Raw genomic sequence first — 18,798 nt, 5'->3', positions numbered from 1 at the left:
GAATTCAGTGGCAGGTCGGTAATCTAGAAGTAGTCTGTACCTATAAATCAGCTCAGTACACTGAAGATTGCTATGATCACCCTCACTTCAGTTCTGTTGAAATCCTTTCTCTATATTCTTCCTCTGTCAAGGTGAAGGCTGATTTACTAGGCGTTCTGGCCATTTGCAAGATGGTGAGGTTTAGGTTTAATGTAAGGAGAAAGCTAACATTTCACAAATATTAAAAGACTCCTGATATTGCTTATTTTATTCAGGTTTAAACAAGGCTGAGTTAGGGTTTTTGGTTTGTTTGCGTTCACGTTGATTTCTTTGTTTACAGAATTTCTGCAGAAATCTGGCCAACTAATACTTTTTCATGTATTAAAAAAAAATATTGAGTACAAAAAAAAAATTCCAGGCACATAGCATAGTAGAGACTAGTGCTATAATGAAGAACAGGACAACTATAGTCCCTGCTTTCATGGAGCTTTCATTATAGAGCAGAGACAAAAATAAAAACAAAAAAGAAGAAAAAATATTCATGAATAAATAAGTTAACAAATTCAGACTGCGATCATTGCTAGATAGTCACTGAGCAATAAGGGACTATGTTACAGAATAGGGAAGGGGAGGGCTGCTTTTTATGCTGTGGGCAGGGGAGGGCTTTGAGGAGGCGATATTTTCATTGCCACCAAAGAAAGAATAAAAAGGTAATCCTGCAACGAGATGCGAGAGAATGGCAGGTCAGACAGAGCAAAGAGATGTGAAAAAGCCCTGAGACAAGAAAGGAGTCGGCATAGCAAAAGATGAAAGAAAGGCCACTGTAGCCTTAAAGAAAGGCACTGTAGCTAGCGCACGGGGAGTCAGAGAAAGGCAGCCTCAGAGGAGGTTAGAGATGAAAGTGGGGGCCAGGCAGCTCCTGGCACTGTAAGCTGTGCCTCAATGGGAAGGGTGCCTCCATGGCTGGCAACCTTGGGGTTTCAAAATGACAGACGGAGGGTCCCAATGAGTCAACAGTGCCCCTTGATGGGAGTAAACAGGTGAATGACACTCAGAAGGCGAGGTATTGGTAAAGGTATTGGTATCCGGTAAAGGTATTGGCATCCAGTCGCATAAATTAGAGGCAGTACTGACAGGGTTTGGTGACTTGAATTTTAATCGTCTTTTTATGATACCTGTTCCTTTATAAAAGCAAAAGTTCAAGACATAAAATAGTAGAATGTTAGGCTTGAGAGTGACCCGGAGATCTTTTTGCAGGAGAAAAATTGAGGCCCAGTAAAGTTGAATGACATTCAGAGACAGGACTAAAAACTGAATCTACCATACTCCTCAGTGGAATGGATAGAGGTGAAAATAGAGAAGTGTGTGTGGAAGGAGTAGGGGTTCAAGGTACCAGAGGAATCATTAATGTAAATTTGATGGACATATTTTCATGTAGCTTTATTTATGAGAGGTTAGGAAACAACCTAAATTTCTATCAATAAAAGATATTATAATTGAAGAAAGTTGGTGAAGTCTTATGATAGCCTATTATGTAGCCATTCAATGTGATATTTATAAAGAGATTGTGTTGATGTTTGAGAGTACTTATGATAAAAATAGAGGGAGCAGGTTATAAAAGTATATATCCGGGAAATGAACTCTGAAATCTGTTATCCATACAATGAAACAAAGACTAGACATACATTTGTAAAATATAGTATTTTAACATTAAATCTACCCATTTTGCTACTCAATTATTATGTGCCAGATTTTGTGCTAAGCTACCTATTATCTCATTCATCCCCATCAAAACGTTAAGAAGGGATTATGATTGCATGCTTTGAGTGAAGTGAGACTTAATAAGACTTAATTAAGTCACTTGCAATCACAAAGCTAGACTGTGGCTGCGTCAGGTGATAAATCATAGACTACTATCATTTAAATCATTTTTTTTTCGTTTCTGCATTTTCTAATTCTGCACTGTGGAAATGTACTGCATTATACTTAAAAAAAAATAAGTCGGATATTAACTAAAGAGATTATTGCAGCTTGTGCTTTATTCGGTGTGCTTTTTTTCCTCCCCAGCCAGTGGTTCTAGAATATGTCTTCATAGCTGGCTTTCTAGTCAGCTTTCAATTCATGAAGTGTTCATTTAGCACTTACTATGTTTAAAGTTTTATTGATTCTATTTCCCCTCAGACCCACTGGGCGTGAGCCACAGAAAGCACCAGTTCCCATTCATTGCAATGATCTTTGTAGGAGGGAAATGACTTCCTATGCTTTTGCTTGTCCTTATTAGTTGAAGCCAGTGACCAGAGGATTTGCACAATAGGAATTGGCCTTCTTCTTACTTGTCCTCAGCAAATTCCTCACATTTGCATGAAAAACTCTTATTTCATAATTTCAATACACTGTTGCTTCACAATATTACCATCTCTGCCAAGAAAACAAGAAGCATTTTGAACTCCAAAAGCTGCCAACATGATTCATGTCAACATCAACAACATTATATGCCTCTGTATTCTGCTCTTAGTAACCTTATCTTTTCTCTTCTATAAATTGGGGGATCAGGAGTTTGCAAAGTATTCAAACTCCTTTTTATCTGCCTTGTGGCTTTACCAATGTCTTTATAACAATTTTCTGTAATTATTTTACTTCAATAAAACATTTGAAAGAATGTTACAATTTTTTTTTTAATGAATCTATGGTCCCATTTCTGTTGTTGTTTTTTGAAGAGTTCTAAGCCAAAAAAAAAAAAAAGAAACTAATAACTGTTTTTATTTTATTTACCTTAAAAAATCCTCAAACATAAAATTTTATTAACTAGAAAATAAAAATAATTTCCTGGAAGGCTTTTATTTTCAGAAGTTTTCTAAAGACATTTGGTAAATATTTCAAACTCATGAAACAATACAAATAATAATATCCATAATGAAAGTAACAATTATTGAGGCTTTACTACATGATAGATAATATGATTTTTTAAAAAAAATAGAATGATAGTTTGGCCGAGCACAGTGACTCATGCCTGTAATCCCAGCATTCTGGGAGGCCTAGGTGGGCAGATTCCATGAGCCCAGAAGTTCGAGACCAGCCTGGCCAACATGGCAAAACCCCATCTCTACAAAAAAAAAAAAAAAATTAGTTGGGCATGGTGGCACACACCTCTAGTCCCAGCTACTCAGGAGGCTGAGGTGGGAGAATCACTTGAGCCTGGGGAGGTGGAGGCTGCAGTGAGCTGTGATTGCACCACTGCACTCCATGGGTGACAGAGTGAGACCCTGTCTCAAATACATATATATATAACTTTACATATATATATACTTTATTTAATTATTCAGACAAAGTTCTGAGTTAAGTATTATTATGCCCATTAAACCAATGAACAGACAGAAGCTTGGAGAAGCTGACAAACTTGTGTCAGGACACACACCAGTAAATAGTAAGGCTAGGATTCACGCCCAGATCATCCCCACTCTAATATATAACGTTTAATAACCATAACATATCGCATGATTAAATTATATTTGGCAAATGAGAGGGGATTTATGTCCATTCAGTTTTAAATAAAATCACGGCTTGGAAAGCCAGAAAAGTTTTATTAACATCCATGTCGTTCAGTTAAGCTTATGTTGAGCGTATGTCTTTTAAAAGAAAGCTGCTTCTAAATTATTGATCAAAGCCTGTGAAACTCAGGAAAGGAAGAAATCGCAGATCTAATTTATCGACCATAGATCCCTAAATACAAATTGATATAATCAAGTCAACCAGCCAATTTTAATAAACCTTGTCTCCATATACATAATCAATGATATGAATTTAAATTAACTGTCTCATATTTTTACAAGAATAGTCTGCAACATATAACACTTAGGGAGGAATATATGTGGTCATATGGGAAACATGTCTCTGTTGCAATAACGTCAAACTGAAAAGTCTTAAATTAAACATCACTTGAAACATAATAGATGAATACACAGTTTAAAAATGTCCTGTAAAACTTTTAGTATTAATGAACATGACTACTCTCAATTCAGATACCACCATTTGTCATGCTCTATCAGGCACTTCACATACTTACTGTACTAAATTGTCACACAGTTTAGTGAGATAGGTATGACCTCCAATTCAGGTCTGAGGACATGGAGCCACACAGAGGTTAAATCACTGGTTCCAAAACCCACAGACGTTAAAGGGACCTGGCAGCAATTCATAGTTAGGTATGGTGGCGCTAAGTACTGCTGCTTTTTCAACTAAATAAGATTGCTTACCTCTGTAAGTGCTAGACTTCCATTTCCTATGGCTTGCAATTTTATCCTATTATATTTTCACCAATACTTATTTATTTATTTTGACATAAGATATCACTCTGTCTCACAGGCTGGAGCACAGTAGCATAATCATGGCTCACTGCAGCCTCAAACTCCTGGCCTCAAGGGGTCTTCTGGCCTCAGCGTCCCAAATAGCTGGGACTATAGGTGTGTGCCACCACCACGGGCTAATATTTTTTCTTTTCTTCCTCCCTTCCTCCTCCTCCTCTTCCTTGTTCTTCCTCTTCTTCTTCTTCTTCTTCTTCTTCTTCTTCTTCTTCTTCTTCTTCTTCTTCTTCCTATTTTTTGGTAGAGATGGGGGTCTCCCTATTTTAATCGTTCATGTCCTGGAATATCATAAAACAAGTTATATTTATTGGGAAAAAAGTAAAAAGTACACCTTAATCATATTTTTCTGTTTAAATTGCTTTGACAGTTTTACTAAGGCTTTTACACTAACCTTAATGTAAGTGTTGTTTGTACAATTATTATAAAATATTTATGGGTGCTGGGACATCAGGATCCAATTATAAATTTGCTTGCAAATTTAAAGTAGCAATAATTCATGGGCCTTTGAACAAAAATCCCAATGGTTAATGAGTGAATAAGGGTTTCTCTGGTTTGGGAAACAAATGTTCGTAGAAGACATCTGCAAATAGATCATAAGAAGAATGTGAATGCATCACCAATCCTCCATCTCTTTCCTAGACATCATCCCCTTCTACATAGGGTTTGCCATTAGGAATTTTTATTTTGGCCACCAGTAGTCCCTAGTTGTCTGATCACAGACAAGTTGGCTGAACTTACTGAACTTCAGGTTAAAAACTAAAAGCTTATTTATTATGAAAATAACAAGATGGGCTGGGTATTGTGGCTTTACACCTGTAATCCTAACACTGTGGGAGGCCCAGGTGAGAGGACTGCTTAAAGCCAGGAGTTTGAAACCAGCCTGGGCAACATAGCAAAACCCTGTCTCTATTTTTCAAAAAAAAAAAAAATTAAAAAGAATAAAAATGAGAATAATAAGATGAATATAATAACATGCCATCATTCATTTTATTATATTAAATGTAATTGTGATTGTGAAAAGAGGTTTGTAAATACAGCACAAATTTGAATTTATGTTCCTAGTGCTCTTAATACAATTCACCCAGTCCGGTCTTTCAATTTTATATATATTGAGGTCCAGGTAATAAAATGAAGTACGCAAGGGCACACAGTAACATTTCTAAATACCAAGACTATGTTTTTCCTATTCTTTCATGTTGATTTTTATGAGACATTACTCCCTCTCACAGCAACATCGTTGCACAGATGCGCGTTGCACAGCTCTAGAGGGCACCATTCGTATTGTGATCTATGAGTAACACATGCCTTGAAACAGAGCTCAAGATGAATGGCACCCCCCGAAGTTGTGTGCCAGGTGGCCGTTTTCAATATTGCCATCTCAACTGGCTTTTTCTTTCCTCTATTAGATACCTGTCAACAAACCTCATTGTTTTAATATTTTAAAATGCCTGTCCATTTTAGTGATTACCTTTGCAACAACTTTTTTTTTTTTTTGCTGAATAAAAGGTCTGCGTCACATTTAAGTTTTTCTCAAAACCTAACACCTTTTTAGAGCCCTGCAGTTTTGGTGGCCATTGGAGACTTCAACATCCACCTGAAATCTATGCTTTCAATATTAGGATTTCCAAAAATAAAGGATTCTTGACTACATCCTGAGTTTTTCCCTATTATTAGATAATGTCAATTCTTCAGCTTTCAGAAATATTATACCACCTTGCATTATTTTGTCCCACATCTTTCTGACATCCTGAGTGCCTTATTTAGCCCCTGACCAGCATTTCCTCTCCAAACCCAGGAATGTTAGCATCTCCAAAGGGTTAGTTCTAAGCTCTCCATTGTTTCTTGTCTCTTAGCCATTGACTATATTCCACTGCCAAGATGAAGGCTTTTGGACTCAGACAGATCTATGTTTTGAATCCCAGCTCAGCTGTTCATTATATGCATCTCCACTGAACAGAACCTGGACTCTCTGAGTTGAATTCTTTCACTATCAGACAGAATTGATAACACTAATCTCACAAGATTGGTCTGAGGAATAAACGGTGCCATATTTAGAAAGCATCATACGTCCTCACAAATTATAGTCCTACTATGGTGATAATTTCTGTCATTGCCTTTTCACTGGAATTTGAATTCTTTTGGGGCTGGAGACTATGCCAGCTGTGTTAGTCTATTTTTATACTACTATGAATAAATACCCAAAACTTGGTAATTTATAAAGAAAAGAGGTTTAATGGACTCAGAGTTCCACATGGCTGGGGAGGCCTCACCATCATGGTGGAAGGTGAAGGAAGAGCAGAGGTACATCTTACGTGGTGGCAGGCAAGACAGTGTGTGCAGGGCAACTGCCCTTTACAAAACCATCAGATCTCATAAGACTTATACAGTATCATGAGAACAGCATGGGAAAAACCTGCCCCATGATTCAATTGCTACCACCAGGTCCCTCTCATGACATGTGGGCATTATGGGAGCTACAATTCAATGTGAGATTTGGGTGGGGAAGCAGCTAAACCATATCACCAACCTTGATCACTATTGTATACTTAGTGCCTAGAATGGTGCTTCCACATAGACAGTGCTACATACATGTAACCTGAATGTAAGCTGGCACCCATGTAGTAGAGTTTCTGAGGAGAATCCTAGTGACATTCACTCAGCCCAGGAGCCAGAAGTAGTGCAAACTGCAGCACATCCATTAACTTGCATTTCTCAGAAAAGGAAAACTGTTCATTTAAAATTTAAATTAACACTTTGTAAAATCTTCTTTTCCCTTTTTCTTCTAACCTATCATCCTCTCACAGCTCTCATTTCTTTCTCAATTCCTCACCCAAAACTTCTTTGCAAACCTCTTAGTTCTCTTCATTCCCTATATCCAGCAAGTTCTGCACCATGTTCATTTTGAAATATATGTTTTCAATGCACCTTAACTATAAATAATTGACTCATGTTATTCTGTCATATTGTAAAGGATTCTGCAAAAGCCCTAATGCCTAACAAGGAGACGTTACTACTAGAGCAGAAAAAGTGGAAACCGGTGTAAACCCAAGGGGACCATCAGAGTATAAGAAACAGTTAGTCTCCAGATCGGACAAATGAACATGTTCAAAGCAATAGAATGTGGAATCAGAATGAGGGAAGGCTCTGACCTAAACTGACTTTTGTGTTGCACTTCCTAATAATTTTGTGAAGTTCCACTCTGTCCCTCTTCATGATAAATTCCTGAGAGCAGAGACTTCAGTAATTCATTTATTCCTTTTGTAACAGTGTCCCAGCAAAGAACTAAGCATACTGCAGATTCTCATAAGTTGAAAAGGCACTTTTAATACATCTGATTTACCTTTCTTTAGGCCTGTAGAGACAAGGAGAAATAATCCTCCTCAGGAAGCTGAAGGGGGTAACTAGGGATACTAGATGCTGAGAGAATCTCTCCTAAAACATTGAATAAAATCTCCCTTAATTCAAGTGCTTTATTATTTCACCCCACATACATTTGAATAGAGTGCTGGTAACAAGTCTCATTCGCCTACTGATGATATTACAGAGAAAACGTTAATTGTTGGTGAAGAGTAGTTTAGAGAGTTTGACTAAAGAGTAGCATGATCTAATGGAAAGATGTAGACCTGAATTCTTATCTTTGCTCCAGCAATTATGAACTGTATGATGTGAAACAAGTCCTTTAATCTTTCAGTCTTAATTTCTATCTTTATCTGACTTCATCTTGTAGGGATGTTAGAGATTAACAAAATATTTAATGTAATACCTAGCATAGAATATTTCCTAAAAATTTGGTAGTATGGCCTTCATAATACTACAGTATTTTCTATATATTTTAACCTGAAGCTAGCAACCCAAAAATACAATCCTAAAAAAGAGAGATACTGAGGTTTTACCAAGAGTAAGATTTTCTTTACACTGCCATTTAATCTCTTTTTAAAAAATATGTTCTCTATGCATTGACTATTCCCATTGCATTTTGTCTACTCCTTGCCAGTTTTACCACTCACATCCTTCTGACTTATGCTGATGTTTTTCAAGTCTTGACTTAGTCACCTTTTGAATGCAATATTCAGGCTATCTAATTGGGCTTCATAAACCAACTCCTCCTGGATTTCAGTTATTTTCTCTGCTTGGTTTTGAGTTTCCCATTTAGGTTTGTTCGGGATCTTGGCACAGGTCCAGAGGAAGGCAACATGCCTGGGGTGGGGCATCCCTAGACACAATGTTTTACCAGGTATGGGAGAAGTCTCTATGCCCCTGGTTATCTTGCAAAACCTCATTTGCTTCTGGCTGAGAACAGATTGCCCTCACCCTCCCCTTCATTTCGTAACTGTGAGAACAAAGAAGTCTGCTCCTGTGAGAGATAAAGTATTCAGCAGTGTTTGAGATGATTAGAAACAAGAAAAAGATTTCTTGTGGGTTTTGACAGGGCTTTCTCCTCTGCACTGGTGGAAGACAGAGCTTTAGTCAATATTCTGCTACTAGCCAAGAGGTTTACCGCAATTCTGATCCAAGCCTAACCCTGCGAAACAAAGAATTTCTTCATGCCATGAATAATCTGTGTTCTGCAGGCTGGGTGACCTCCTTCCCCGAAATGAAGTGCATAAGTGACTTTTGATCTAACAAGTTTATAGAGTGACTTCAGGGAAATCTCATGTTTAATTTGTGTATTGACCATGTAAATATGCGGCTTTGAATGTGATTGTTTGCTGCTGATGAGCCATCAATCAAGCTGCATTTTAAACTTGCTTTCGAAGCAGTGTTTACTTGAAATGAGTGTTTAGAAGACAGGGAGGAGGAGGGGGACATTTTAGAAATGTTCTTTGAGGCTATTTTAGAGATGTCCGTGACACCTATTTGCACATTTTGGGACTTTTATTCAAGTCAAAAAACATTTACTGAGCACACACAATATCCTCAGAAATGAACTATAAATCAGGACATAACATTATCAGTAACATTTTATGCTTACTCTGGGCTAATGCCTATTCTACTTTCTGGGGATTACCAAGAGCTAAGAGAACTGTATTTGTTTTCTAGGTTGCTGTAACAAATTACTACAAACCTGGAGGCGTAAAACAACAGAAATGTATTTTCTCATAATTATGAAGGCCAGAAGTCCAAACTCAAAGTGTTGGCAAGGTCACACTTCCTCCAAAACTGTAAGGGAGAATCTGCTGCATGCCTATCTTTTAACTTCTGGTAGGCACCATCAACCCTCAGCATTCCTTGGCTTGTAGTTGCATCATTCCAATCTTTGCTGCTCTCTTCATATTGCCTTCTCTGTGTATGTCCTCCGTTTTGTGTCTATCTCTGACTCCCTTTTCCTTTCGCTTTGAAGGATACATGTGTGATTGTTAGTTTTATATATTAACTTGACAGGGCCAATAGATAGGACACCAAAATCCCTCTCCATCTGTGGACATGAGAACCTCGAAAAAAAAAGTTATCTGCCTCCAAAATACAATGATGGGCAAGTGTAGTTAATAGTTATAAACACTGCCATTTTAAGGGAGACAATGGAAGATACAAAGTGGTCACTGATGCCAAGCCAGTTCAAAATCCAGCAAGGAAAATTTCCTTAGGTTTCAAGACCTGACAATTATTTTCTGTTGCTTGAAGCTATGATCTCTGGGTCTGGAGCTTTGCCCTCTGTACCCAAGGCTCTGCACTCAGAGTCATTCTTCTCTTTTTTTTGAATGATAATACATGTTTGTAGCCAACTAGTTCTATCAGCCCATTTTCTGCCTATAAAATCCCAGAAGTCTGACAGTCTGCCTTCATTATGTCCCATGTATGTCCCTTTCAGGCCAGTCTGGCAGTGTTTCTGCTGATACAATATTCCCCAAAACCTTGTGGGTCTCCCATGTTTGTCACAGGGACTCATATAATTAAACAACAGCATACTCCGTAGGCCTTTCCTGGATAAACCCAACTCTTCTTAGCTTCTGTTGAGACGGTTGAGTGAGTTCAGAAGTCACACATCTGCAATTATTAAATTCCTGTCCAGCCACAACTTTGGCTTTCTCTCAAGAGCATTTCTTTTTTCTAACGGTGATCCTTAGTCTCAATATTAGTTAGGTTTCTTTTTAATCCTGATAGGTTGTAAATTTCCAAAATTATTAAATCATCATTTCTTTCTGCTTAACAGTTCCTTCCTCAATCCATTTATTCCCTCTTGCATTCTACAATAAGCATCAAGAAGAAACCAGGTTGCACTTTTTGACAGCAGACCTGGTCATCTCCTTAGCTAAATATCCAAGTTCATTGCTTATAAATCCTGCTTTTGACACAAAAATTGTAGGACACAATTAAGCCAACTTTTCTGCCAGTATATAATAAGGATCCCTTTTCCTCCAGTTTCCAATAACATGCTGCTTATTCCTGGTGCTGAACCCTCTTCTGCCGTGCTTCTAACATTCATATTTCTACCAATATTCTTTCTATGACAACACATGTATTCTCTAAAACTATAGAAGACTTCCCTACCTTGTTCCTCACTTTGTTCTGAGCTCTCACCAGAATCTCCTTCAATGTCCATATTTCTACAAATAGTCTGTTCAAAGAAGTGTAGTCCTTTGTTATCATGCTTCCTCATATTCTTCCAGCTTCTATCACTATGCAATTGCAAAGCCACTTCTACATTTTTAGAAATTTATTACAACAAATATAAAAAACCTGAACCTGGCCTGGTGGCTCATGCCTCTAGTCTCAGCACTTTGGGAAGCTGAGGTGGGAGGATCACTTGAGTCCAGGAGTTCGAGACCAGCCTGGGTAACATGCCAAAACACTGTCTCTACAAAAAAATAAAAAATTAGCCAGACCTGGTGGCTACTGTCAGGTACTATCCCAACTACTTGAGAGGCTGAGGTAGAAGGATTGCTTGAGCCCAGGCCGTCGAGGCTGCAGTGAGACATGATCTTGCCATTGCACTCCAGTCTGGGTGGCAGAATGAGACCCTGTCTCAAAACAAAGCAAAACAAAATAAAATCTGTATCAGTTTTCTATTACCACCGTAACAAAGTACCACATGTCTGGTGGCTTAAAAGAACATAAATTTATATTCCCCAAATTCTAGAGGTCAGAAATCTGAAATCAGTTTCACTGAGTTGAAATCAGTGTCAGAAGGGCTGTGCTCCCTCTGAAACCTCATGGAGATAATTTGTTCTTTGCCTCTTCCAGCTTCTGGTGGCTGTAGCAATTCCTTAGCTTGTGGGCCCATCACTTCAATCTCTGTCTATGTCTCACATCACCCACTCTTCTTCTGTCTATCTTCTTCTTCTTTGTGTGTCTGTGTCTAAATTTCTTCCACCTCTCTGTGATAAGGATGGATGTGATCACATTTACCTTGCACTAGGATAATCCAGGATAGCTCCACCTCTCAAGGTCCTTAGATTAATAACATCTTTTGCCCTATAAGACAAATAGTTATTCTTTTGCCGTGTAAGATAATGGTTACAAAACCTGGGGATTAGAATATGGACATATCTTTTTGTGGGGGCCACCTCACTGCCTACTATAACAATTAATAATCAATAATATCCTGTTTTATGTCAGACATTCTGCTAAGCATTTTAAGTATTATTTCATTTAGGCTTTAAAAAGATACCTTAAAGAATGTGTTATTATCTCCATTTTATAGATGAAGAAGTTAAAAATCAGAGAGGAATTGTCTAAATTTATTTTGTGTTGCTATAAAGGAATACCTGAGACTGAATGATTTATAAAGAAAAAACTATTTGGCTCACAATTCTGCTGGCTGGAAGACTGGGCATCGCGTGAAAGGCTCAGGCTTCTTCCACTCAGAGTGGAAGGTGAAGGGAAGCTGGCATGTGCAGAGATCACACGCTGAGAGAGGAAGCAAGAGAGATCATGGAGAGGTGACGGGATCTTTTTAACAACAGGCTCTTACGGGAACTAAGAGTGAGAACTCACTCACCACCACACCTCCAGGTGAAAGATTCATTGTTGTGTGACGGCAGCGTTAAATTCAAGCAATAAGGGGGAGACTGTGCAACTTAAAGCACCACTTTGTTTCATGTTTCTGATCCGGTGAAAGATTTAGAGCAAGGAACCTAGACAGATCATGAAATGAAGCTGGCCAATCCTGAGTGCTCATGAAGCAACAACTTGGTATCAAGTTTTCTGTGCGTCACCTTCGAGTAAGACAAATGAGAGAAGATGGGGTTCTTTCCTGAAAGAGAACGCTAATAATCATTTAAATGCACATGATAGAAATATTAAACACTGGTGATGGACAGAACAGATTGGAAAGTAAAAGGTCAAGTATCAGCAATGGCCCGAGACGGAAGAAGCTTTGGAAAATTGGCATAGACACAGTCTTCAGTAGAAGCATGTGGCTGAGCAGACAGAAAAGGAGAAGCAGATGGAGGTGATGGATGACAGGCTATGTGTTTGTGTGTGGGTTTGTCTGATTGGAGTAGGACTCAAGGACTGGATTGAAGAGGGAGGTAATTAGGTAATTTCTTTTTCTCCAAACCACTGAGTTTTTGTTTTACTTTATAAAATAACACCTATTAGTTATCATTATTATTAGTAGTAGTGTTTCAAACATAAACTATGTTAATGTGATATACAAATCACACAAACACATAAGTGAACATAGAAAATAAAGACTGCTGGTAATGGTAACTTGCAGAAATAACCACTGTTAACCTTTCATTCTGAATGTTTCCTATTGTATATATTCATCCACATCTATTTGTACACTTTTCTTCTACTTTGGGGTTATGATACACAACCTACCCTGTAGCCTGTTTTCTTTTCTTTACTTAAAAATCTAAGATTTTTCAGATTACATATTCCTCCTAAACATAATTTTAATGGTTGTGTAACTTTTTGTTACACAGGTATATTAACACCAATTTAAATAATTTTTTATTTTTCAGTATTTAGGTTGTTTCCTATTTTAGCTTCTTATAATATTAATCTGATCAACAAATCTGCATCCATGTATTATGTGCATGTAAACTGGATTATCATTTTAAGTGTGAGACAAGAAATTCCCAGCAGTTATTCAATATTAATATGTTTCTCTCTCTCTTCTCCCTGTATATATTACACAGACACACACAAGCATATAAAATAACACTACAAAACAAGTAGCAATATACCAGCAAGGCTGAAGAGGTAACGGAAATACATAGATGGAAAATCCAAGATACAAATTCAGTTCTCTCTAACAACAAATTCTAAATTGTCTCCTCTATGACACTACTGCTAATAGTAATAATAACTCGCCTTAGTTGAGCACTAACTATGTGCTAGGCAAGGTACTAAATACTTTATGTAAACTGTCTCATATAACCCTTACAACATCTCTATAAGGTTGTAGACGCAAAAAGGGGGTGATCCCTTTTCTCCTCATAAAGGGTCATGGCCAAAACTCCCCGTAACAAAAGAGAGCTTGATAAGAGACAAGCATAACAAATTTATTATGTGCATAGGAGTCACACAAAAAAATATTAAAAACTCAAAAAAGGGCCAGATGATTGATGCTTAAATATCCTCTTCATTGGAGAGAGGAAAGTGAATGAATAGACCCAAGGACAAGATAATGATTTATCAAAGATTCTCTTTGGATGCTGAATGCAACCAAAAAACACACAATAGCTGGTGGACAAGTTAGAGAAGGGTGTGGGGCAGAACTGCATTGTGAACAATGGTTGTCTTATTACGCAAGTACAGTTCCCCAAGTAATTTCTCACAACTGCCCTTAAAAGAATCGATGAAAAGTCTGTCTGCATGTGGTTACAATTTCCAGTCTCTCCTCTTCTCCAGTGTTAATCCTTCCTGGTTATTTAATGAGATTCCTAAGAAGAGGGTTTTAAGATAATTTCCTTTAATTTACAAGAAGTTTTCTCAGACAAATACGGAAATTTCAGAGAAAGTCCCTTTTGGAAAATAAAAAGGATCAGAGAAACAGGAAGGCAGAGGAAGGTCAGAGGGAGACCTTAAAGGTCTCCCTTTACTTTGGCATGCCAGAGCAGCATATTTTGAGGTATTGGTTTCTGAGCCCCAACAAGGTAAACAACTATTATTATAACCATTTTAGAGTTGAAGAAAAAGGAGCAAAAATAATTTAATAATTTCTGCAAGGTCACACCACTGGTTACTACATTTGTCAAGAAGTCTCAATGTGTAGAGGGTAGACATACATTACAAGATGACTTCATATTTGGATACACTATATGGGTTTGAGATAGGATTTTTTGGTACCTATAATAGTCATATTGGCAAATGTTACAATGGTGGCAGTAGAGTATCTTGGTTAACAGTACAGACTCTAGAGACAGACTGCTCAAATTCAGATTTCAGCTCTGGCACCCTAGCTGTGTGACCTTAGTCAAGTTAATTAATACCTCTGTGCCTAAGTTTTCTCATCTCTAAAATTGGGATAATTATAATAGATAGTTATGAAAATTAAATAAGATAATTAAATAGACAGCTCCCTTCCAGTAAGGCTTCAATAAATGTTAACTAATATCCAAAGAAGTAATAAACAAAATGACAAAAAAGCATCAAATAAAAATTAACACATAAATAGAGGCGTTTGCTCCTAGACTGAGCTATGAAAAATGAGACTTCCTTTGGAAAATTCCAATTAGGCTTTCGTCTGTTAACATTTAGAGTATAGTGAAAATTAAAAAATAGCACAAAAACATAGTAACTTAATTTCGACTCTATTGTATGTCATAAAATAATTAGCTATTCACTCTTCTCAAATGAAGAGAGCTGGTAGCTCACTGCTGGGTGAGACCTCAGTGAAAACTCATTCACAGAAAGAACCAGGATCAGTTTTCTAGCATTTAGGAAAAAACATCCAAAGAGATATAAACAAAAGTCTGCAGACACAGCCCAGAGAAAGTCTGATAGGTGAATAGAAGCCAAGTGAGCTAGGGAGAATGCCTTTCTCACCCCTCCAATCGACACTTACAAGTTCCCAAGCTTGATGACCTTGGCTCATCCTAAAAAAGACATCTGTACCACATCTGGTAAGACAGGGGATAAGGGGACACAGAATGAAAGAATTTTATACTGAAATGGGACATTGGTCCAAACACTGAGGCAATAGAGATCCTGAAACAGGAGTAAGTGACTCACACAAAACGGCTAGAATCCAGGTTTCCAAGCATGGTCGGTTCAGTGCTCTTTGATTCTACCACCTTGCCTCATTTACGTATGTGTATATATGTGTATTCATGGACATATATTTATTTATTACATGAATGTGTTATATATGTATATATGTCAATATATGTTTATGTGATTGGATATTTATATGCATGAATATGTTAACATATATGCATGATATCTGTATTTATATATATATGTATTTCATTCTGTATATTCTATCAAGTACCTACTGACAGCTCTGTTGCATGATTTGTGTCATGAATAATTGACAATATCCATACAGGGAGTTTAGGTTAATTTACATCAAAATGTTTTTTGAACACATTTAGAAATTTTTCACAGCTCTGCATGGTTATAGATTCGGTTTTCGTGTTCATGGACTTTGTTTTGCTGATGCAGTGCTGAACGGCAGAGGCATTTTCAGAAAAGCACATCTCAAAGGACAAGATCAAATGACATTGTAACTGAAGTCTGCATTTTTGGTAAGACTTTCCCTCTGCTTCTTTGTCACCATGCATGAGACAAGCTGTGCTGTGCTGTTTCAGACAAAGGGGCTTGCAAGAGACAGGCATTAAGACTTTGCTTTATTTCTTATGTATTTGTTTATTCACAGTGTGCAAAACCATGTCCTCCCTGTTTACTCTTGTAATAGAAGGAAATTGTAATTCATTTCCTTAATGAAAAATATGCTATGGTTTACCTCACATGTAGGAAAAAGCCATTATTACTACCACAGCTATTGTTTTCCATTAATAAAATTCATTCATTTCATCTAAATCAGAATAACATTTCTTTTTCTCTTAACTCTTACTTTTCTTTTAGATAATAATCAAAGTTCAGTGGTAACAAAAGTTATGAGGGCCCCTTGGTCAAATGCCATAATCTCCTAAACCTTCCCTCATATAGAGATCAGAACTGCAATTCAGGCACATTGATTGGTTTGATTTCTTTGCATTGAAATAGTCTGCTTTTCCCCATCACACTAAGATGTAGAAAAGTGAGGAATAGTTGCTATGTTCTCTCATTTTGATCTTTATTAGAATTTCATGTTGGGAATCTGCTTATTGGCATATTCAGCCTTGTTACCAAGATGTGTGCTGTTGAGGCCGTAAAATAGACAGCTCAACTTGAAGATTAAGGCAATTGCATGCCATTATGTTCAATGCTAGTTTGCAGTTTAGGGGTAGTAAGTATGTCTGCCAGGCAGGCAAGTTCTGTTACATGGCACTGGTCCAGTGCCTAGCACTTAGGGGACTAGGTGAATGAATGAATAAGCACGTGCATTTTGCCATTCCCCCATACCACTGGTATCATTGTTTTGTCTATTTTTTGCCCCAATTATCAATTTTAATTTATAAATATTGTATAAAAGAAAGTTGTATAAAGCAAGTTTCTTTTGCTGGTTATTATTAATAAAATACATATGTAAGTATAGCGCCGTTTATTTAAATTCATTGTTGTATTCCTTCCACACAAATGTAGGACATAGAACACACCTTGGGAAACACTGAAGTTGGAAAGTTCTCAAGTAATAATAATAGTGATAATAAAGAATAGTTATACCAAGCAACTATCCTTTAAGTACCCAGTATCTACAGAGTTAGCTCATTCAATTTAATTGTCATACCTAAGAGGAAATCATTATTTTTCCCACTTTACAGGCAAGAAAACTGATATTCAACAAATTTAAGAATTCATATGATAAAACTTATAGCAATCATAAAACAGTTATTGATAAAAACTGATTTTATGCTGAGATTTATCAACAATATAGTATTTGATTTTCACAATGACCCTATGAGGTGAGAATTGTTATCTTCATTAACAGATGAGGAAACTTTAAATAGCCCAGTCACTTAACTACTAAGTGGAATAGTCAGTATTTGAGCCCACCTGTCTCTATGACCTAATCCTGCAACACATGCCTTAATCTAGGAGAACTTGCAAATTCCACCATAGTAGCCAAGAGCATACAGTAGTCCCCCCTTATCCAGAGGTGATATGTTCCAAGACCCCCAGTGGATGCCTTAAATCTCCAATAGTAGAGAACCCTATGTATACTTGCTGAATTCTTTTTCCTTCTTCACAATTTCACAGGTAGAAGATTCATTCTTACCATAGATTTTAGCAACTTCAGCATACCATTTTTTCTCACCTTATTAAATGTAGAACTTTCACTTTTTCACTGAAAGGAAGCATTTTACAGCTTCTCTTTGGTATATCCAAATTGTCAGCATCACTACTCTCGTGCTTTGAGGCCATGATGAAGTAAAAGAAGGGTTACTTGAACATAAGCACTGCAATACCACAGCAGTCCACCTGGTAATTGAGCCGGCTATGAAGTTACTAACAGATGGGTGGGTAGAAAGTGTGGATATGCTGGACAAAAGAAGGATTTGTATCCAAGGCGAGGTGGAGCAGGAGCGCAGGAGATTTCCCCAGGCCACTCAGAACGGTGCATGACTAAAAACTTATGAATTGTTTATTTCTAGAATTTTCCATTTAATTTTTTTGGATGGTGGGTAAGCCAAACTGCAGATAAGGTGAAACTATTGTACTTTATAGAATGGAGCAGTAGGAATACTTTCGAGATATTCTAGTTCCACCGTGTCACAGGAAACAATTCTAGAACTGTAAGTTACCAAACTCATCAGTTACTATGATTTCAAATGAATACAAGAACTAAGCTTGCTTTTTTTTTTTTAACTGTTCATTGGTGAAGGTGGCAGGGAATTATTCAGCATCAGTGAAATAACCAAGTATTTTTGGACTGTTAACCAAGTCATTTAGAGCTGTGTGTACATACCTTGTTTGTATAAATTGAGAAGAAAGTCACCCAGCTCTAAGAGCCGTGAAAGGTTACCAGTTGACCTTTTGTCTTCTTTTGGGAAGCACAGAGGAGCAAGGAACAATTCAAGTTTCGAGGGGAGAGGATCCACAAAGTGTTATTTGTTTTCTTCCATTTGATTTCTATATTCAGCTGAGCACTTCCTTGAAACTGATGCCCAGAGCTGTCATTTATCCACTTTTCCATTATCACATCTGAATCCCACAGGCCCACTTCAAATGCGGAGAGATACACCTGCAGTTTCTGAATGGATTTCTTCAACAATGCCGCCTAATTGACTCACATTAAAAATACTTTGATCGACCCATCTCTTTGTCACATGAAGCTGGAAACACTAACAGAGGCTGTTGGAAAGAAAGGTCTGGTTCCGTGGCCAAATACCTTGACTTTTCCAAAAACAGACTTTTTCTGTCTCTTCAGAAGAAGAATTACATGCAATGGGAAGATTGATGT

At 37.4% G+C, this 18,798-nt stretch overlaps 2 long non-coding RNA genes across 2 annotated transcripts; both read right to left on the bottom strand.

Moving 5' to 3' along the window:
- Positions 1 to 2,124: 2,124 nt before the first annotated feature.
- LOC107986040 (uncharacterized) lies at positions 2,125 to 4,360 on the bottom strand. The gene is made up of 2 exons (XR_001740550.1): positions 4,233 to 4,360; positions 2,125 to 2,397 (listed from the first exon to the last, which is right to left on the bottom strand). It is a non-coding gene; the product is annotated as an uncharacterized LOC107986040 (long non-coding RNA).
- Positions 4,361 to 4,527: 167 nt separating this feature from the next.
- On the bottom strand, positions 4,528 to 17,775 carry LOC105376921 (uncharacterized). Its single transcript, XR_940533.2, has 3 exons — positions 17,653 to 17,775; positions 4,732 to 4,920; positions 4,528 to 4,618 (listed from the first exon to the last, which is right to left on the bottom strand). It is a non-coding gene; the product is annotated as an uncharacterized LOC105376921 (long non-coding RNA).
- Positions 17,776 to 18,798: the final 1,023 nt, after the last annotated feature.

Source organism: Homo sapiens, chromosome 3, assembly GCF_000001405.40.
Source record: "Homo sapiens chromosome 3, GRCh38.p14 Primary Assembly".
Classification (NCBI taxonomy): Eukaryota; Metazoa; Chordata; class Mammalia; order Primates; family Hominidae; genus Homo; species Homo sapiens.
Note: the sequence above shows the minus strand (reverse complement) of the source record. Positions and strands in the feature narration are given on the sequence as shown.